Source organism: Homo sapiens, chromosome 5 (assembly GCF_000001405.40).
Source record: "Homo sapiens chromosome 5, GRCh38.p14 Primary Assembly".
Classification (NCBI taxonomy): Eukaryota; Metazoa; Chordata; class Mammalia; order Primates; family Hominidae; genus Homo; species Homo sapiens.
Genome location: NC_000005.10, coordinates 174,842,095 through 174,847,616, shown reverse-complemented (window position 1 = coordinate 174,847,616; position 5,522 = coordinate 174,842,095). Strand labels below are relative to the sequence as shown.

The 5,522-nt window shown below is 48.2% G+C and overlaps 1 annotated feature.

The window, feature by feature from the left end:
* Positions 3,620 to 4,181: an enhancer, noted in NCBI's record as "OCT4-NANOG-H3K27ac hESC enhancer chr5:174270439-174271000 (GRCh37/hg19 assembly coordinates)". NCBI's record gives its function as "activates a minimal SCP1, AML or CMV promoter by ChIP-STARR-seq in primed H9 embryonic stem cells {active_cell/tissue: H9 hESC(primed)}" and the evidence as "EXISTENCE:reporter gene assay evidence [ECO:0000049][PMID:30033119]".

The following is a 5,522-nucleotide window of genomic DNA, read 5'->3' as shown; positions in this document are numbered from 1 at the left end:
AAAACCCCTGGATTAGGGGGAGATGAAAGAATGGGGTAACCAAGTTAGTTCCTAAAGTGTTTTCACCATGTGGAAGTGCAGGGATAAGCTGGGGGCTCACCATGCTAGAGGGAGAACAAGCTTGTAGACGGGGCCTCCAGGCTCCTGGGTCAGACGGCTGTGCTCAAATCCCGACCCCGTGACCTTGAGTAAGTGCCACAACTTCTATGTGCCTCAATCTCCTTATCTGGGAAAACTGTAGTGCAGCTGAAAGCACATGGTCTCCTCTCAAAGAACCTGAGCTGCTCTCATCAGCAAGTACAACAATGGATGCTGACCAAGCATGCTTTACACATTGGGTACCCCACAGATGGTCGAGAAGGAGACGGAGAACAGGAGGCTCAGGAGAGGAAAAGAAGAGACAAGACTTGGCACAGCAGATGTAGGAAAAAGATGAAAATTAGAAGACCAGTTCTTAGTCTTGGTTCTGTCCTGGGCAAATCACTTCATCTTGCTGGGCAACAGTATGTAGAAAATGAATGCATCTCTAGACCCAGAACTGTGCTTCTCAAACTTTGACGTGCATATGACTCAGATGGTGATCTAATTAAAATACAGATTTTGATTTTGTGGGTCTGGATGGGGGCCTGAGGTTCTGCATATCTAATGAGCTCTCTGATGAGGCTGACACCGCTGCTCCATGGACACACTCTGAATGGAATTTAGATCAGAGGTTGGTGAACTTTTTTCTGTACAGTAAATATTTCAGCGTTTGCAGGCCATGCAGTCTTTGTCACAACTACTCCACTCTGCTGTGGTGGCACAAGCGTAGCCATAAAACGTCATTTACAAAAACAAGTATGAAGCCAGATTTGGCCCATCGGTTATAGATTATCGACCACTGTTGTAGTCGATATCTAGTATTCCTTCCAGTTTTGCTCTTCCTTAATTCATATTCAACGAGTCCTTAACTGAGAACCTACTCCATATCGCAGCCAGTGTATTATGTGCTTTTCCACACAGGACTCTGCTACCCTCAGAATCACCTGTAAAACTCTATCCCACACTCATTTTACTAACGAGGAGACTAGTTCAAGATCTCAGAGCATGGAAGGTACTCCTGTTGTGATTAGAACCCAGGTTTCCTGATCCCAGGCCTGGTGCTTCCTTGTTCTTTTCAACAAATCAAATAATCAAATGAAGATTGTTCTTTAAACACACACACACTCTCTCTCCCTCTCTCTCTCTCTCTCTTTCTCTTTCTCTTTCTTTCTCTTTCTGGTGGAGTTCTGCCAAAAAAAAAAGAGGACAAGTGATTGTTCACCAGCTTTCTCTGTTGGGCAAGGTTATCCCTTTTAGCCACACGTCCAAGGTAGGATTTTGACAATTCGAGAATTTTAAAGGAATAGAAGGTATAAAACAGATAGAAACTATCCTATCGCCAAAGCAGGTCATTTCACAAGCACAAGAAAATGTGACCCCCTGATTACCTTCTTCTCTTTGCATCCCAGTTCCCTTCTGAGCTTCGTCAAGTTGAATCTCCAAATGCCACGCGAGTCACAATGTAAAGGAGGCAGCAGCCCCATGACCAAGGGAAGGGAAGAGGCATGAGCACCTGGGAAGGCCGGAGGGATGGAGGTCCCTGACTGTTGCCCCTTGCTCAAATGCCACCTCTTTGTTCCTGCCATGGGAGCTGTGATGAGAGGAAGGTGCAGAGAGTGCTGGGCAGAGAGTCAGAGGAAGGCCTGACTTTGGGGTGCACGAGACAATCACCCAACCTCTCAGAGGTCGCACACCAGCAGCCCCCAGGTGGAAACTGACTCGCACACGGGTGGATTTGCTTTGGGCTGCATGCAGAGTGTTTTAAATCATTTCAACTAGTTGTCAAATATAATCTTCCTGTCTTGCCTTTTATAACTCACCCAGATGATGGATCCAGCCACAAGTGACACTTTGCACAGGACAACCGTGGGCCCCAGCAGAGGACTGGCAGCCCCCATGCATGGTAAGCAATCCCAGTGCCTCGCTCAGGTACAGCTCCCACCTGTTCCCAGGGGGCATTTGAGTTTGCGATCTCTGCTAGACCGGCCTATTTCCTCATCTGTAGAGTGTGGTGAGTGTCCACCCCAACTGCCTCATTAATTCAGTCAGCAAATGAGTGGCCACTGCCTGGCTCAGTCTGTTCCACAGAGGAGCGGGGAGGAATAAGAAGGGGGATGTGGCAGTCCTCGCCTCATGGGATGGACTGCCCCATGGCGACAGCCTAGTGAACAAGCCAGCCATTCTGGCTGCCACAAGAGGCTCATGAGTGGAGCACAGTGCAGACATAAAGCAAGAGGAGAGAGTCTACAGGGAGCAGGGCCGGCCAGAACAGGCAGTGTCTTGAAGAGAGAGAGGCTCTCCTTGTTAAGGAGCTGCAGTGGGGGCAGAGTGGGAAGAGAGGAGGCAGGGAGTTCTCAGCCAAGGGATCACCTGGGTTACAGAGACAGAGGCCAGGATAGCAGCCAAATGTATCAGGGAAAGCACAAACAGTCCTGTGGCTAGTTGCAGGGTGTGAGTAAGACTGTGGGGTGGAGGCAGAGAAGGCAGGAGGCTGACGGGTAGCCCAGCACGGCTGAGGATGGAAGGCCTTGAATGTCCAGCTGAGAAGTGTGACCTAGTCCCAAGGGCCATAGGGAGTTCTGGGAGGGTTTCATACATGGGAGTGCGGGGATGGAACTCAGGCTGTGGGAAGATCTCTCTGTCACAGTGGAGGGCAGATAGATGAGGAGGAAAGACAGGGCAGGGAAACCAGTTAGGAGGCAACTGGGTAAATCTAAGTGAGAAGTCAGGGAAGACAAGATTGTGACAATGATGGAAATTCAGGGACAGGACTAGGATGAGACAAATGAGGAACCCAGGATGCAAAATTTAAGGAAGTGCTGGCTCTCAGAGACACACAAGTACGGGTTGGGTACCTGAAACCAAGCACCCACTTAAGTGTTGCTTTCAGGGGTCTCTTGCTTGCCTCATCCCAGGACTGGCCCTGGATTAGCGGTGCAGAAGAACTCCGTAACTGTTGAAGCCCTGTTTTCCAAAGATGAGGATCTTCCAGGGTATCCTGCTCAACATGACTGACTTGCTTCTTTCACTCAAGGACTTAGGGACTTGGGTTCAAATTCTGACTCTCAAACTCATGGTCTCTCAGAGTTTTCCTCCTCAGTTGCCCACATATGTAAAATGGACCCAGAGTTTTCCAGTGTTAGGGCTGCTCCAAGTTCAGAGGATGTGGAAGCCCAGGGCCGTGGCTACAGCAGACAGCCCCTGGTGACCTCTGTCTTTGCCAACATTTATTTGTTTTGAAAGACCCCAAGGCCAATGGATCCTCTTTCCTGATCCACTAAGTTATGATTACAGAACCTGTAGCTCTTCTATTCTTTTTCTTCCCCAAGGGTTTGCCTCAGCTGTCTTATTAAATATGGAAAACATCTGTGCTTGGGTTTTTTTTTTTTTTTTTTTTTTAGCAAAAATCCCCACATCTGGAAACTATTGGTCAAGAGTCTAATTAAGTATGTCAATGACAAATTGTTCTCACAGGAAGTATTTAGGACTAGTGAATAATTGGGATTTAATGCCCTTGGCCTTTGTCCTTGCCTGCTTGTTTACTTATCCTCGCAGAGGTCGGGGAGGCAAGGCTCCCACCCCCACCCAGCCCCAGTCCCAAGAATCCTTGGCCAGGCTGCCGCAGAAAAGTCAGACCCACGGATGCAAGGAGCTGCCCTCAAGTGAGGAAGCAAGGGTGGAAACTTGCTGGAAGCTGGGTCTCTTATAGCTACACAATGCCCCCTTCTTACTAGAACCTCTAGCTCTTCCACTCAGGGCTAAGACTTCCTGCCGGGTCTACCTACTGTTTGAAGGAGATTATTTCCTTTCTTTTACTTGGACTTTTTTCTTTCAACCTTCGGAGGGCCCCAGCCCTCAGGGAAAATGGATTCTCTTCCCCTCCCCAGCTCCCAGCGGGATATTCTCAACTAAATAATGAAGTTTAATGGGCTTTCACACAAACACAAAGCTCTCTCCCCCCACACCACGGGAGGACATTTCTCATTAATGAAGGCCTTAAAATGATGTTCTCATCCCCATGAAGCTTCAGGAATGCTCTGCATCTCCTCATCCTTGACTCCCCTGGCCATCCTGACCCAAGATGGCTCTGACAGGAGAAACCACTGTGGACAGCAATTGAAGACCTCACACCAGCTTCATCAACCAGAAGGCAGATGGCAAACAGGGACAGAACCAGAAAACATTAGAAATGTATGTTGTTAAATGCGAGTTCTGAGTTGGAGACACTGAAAATTGTTCTTTCAGGTGCCTTTGCATTCTCTCTTGTCCTTCTCTTGTCCTTTTTTTCTCCATGTCTCCACTCCAATAGCAAGTCCCAGCTGCTCTGTCTCAGAAACGGTCTCCAAATTTATCCTCTTCCTCCCATTCCCATGGCCCCCACCCAGTCCAAGCCATCACCCTCTCTTGCATGGACGATGGCCATGGCCTCCTTGTGGCCTCTGGGCTTCCCAATTTGCCCCCTTCTGTCCATTCTCCTCATGTAGCCAAGTGCTGTACAGATATGGGGACCAAATTGTGTTGTATTGTAACCATAATGGGTTTTTGCCCAATGCACAGCAAGTCAATATAATGAGACACAGAGGTTGCATCAGAGAAAGAGTTTAAAAATCATAGAGCAGCCAAACAAGGAGATAGGAGGAAACCTCAAATCTCTCTCCCGAGGGGTTTGGGGGTAGGAATTTTAAGGGGTTTGGAGTGGGCTGAGGTGTGGGGACCTTTGATTAGTTGAAGAGTGCCAGGTGAATTCATGCAACAGGGAGCTAAAGAAACTGCATTCTCACACCGATTTGGTTCCTCTGCAGGGGTCTTTAAATTGATTGGCATTAGCTCTTCCACTGGAATTCAGAGTCTGAAGAGCATCTTAAGCAATTCTTAAAGAAAAAGCCTTATGATTCTAACATCAGAAATCCTATCTACAGGAACAATGGGAGTGCAAATGGTCAGTACCTGGTGCTGTGTGACTTTTGGTTACAAGGAAGTAGGCCAAATGGCAGCCTGATTAACACTTAATTATAAACATATTTCTGACCAGAGCCTGGCATATAATTCTTGTGAGCCCTGTGAGGACAGTTTCAGGGTCCCTGCCCTCTGGCAGCTCCCATCGCGATGAGGATGCATCCCAGGCCCCTAGCAAGGTCTGGGGCCTGCCCCACCTGGCCACTGCCCCACAAACATTTGCCACACCTTGGTGTCTTCCTCGTGTTTCTTACCATGATGTAAAATCACGTTCATGAGTTATTTGCATGTCGTCTGTAAATTCCATTAGATCATAAACTCCATGAGAGTAGCCTGTTGCTTTGTTAGAATGAAGCAAGCAAGGTGCTTTGAGCACAACATTTAAGGAGGTACTCACTCTCAACCACAGATTCTCTATCACACAGCCCAGAGAGGGAGTGCCTCCCAAAATTTTGTGTCTCAGGTGCCCCACTTGCCTCTCAGCC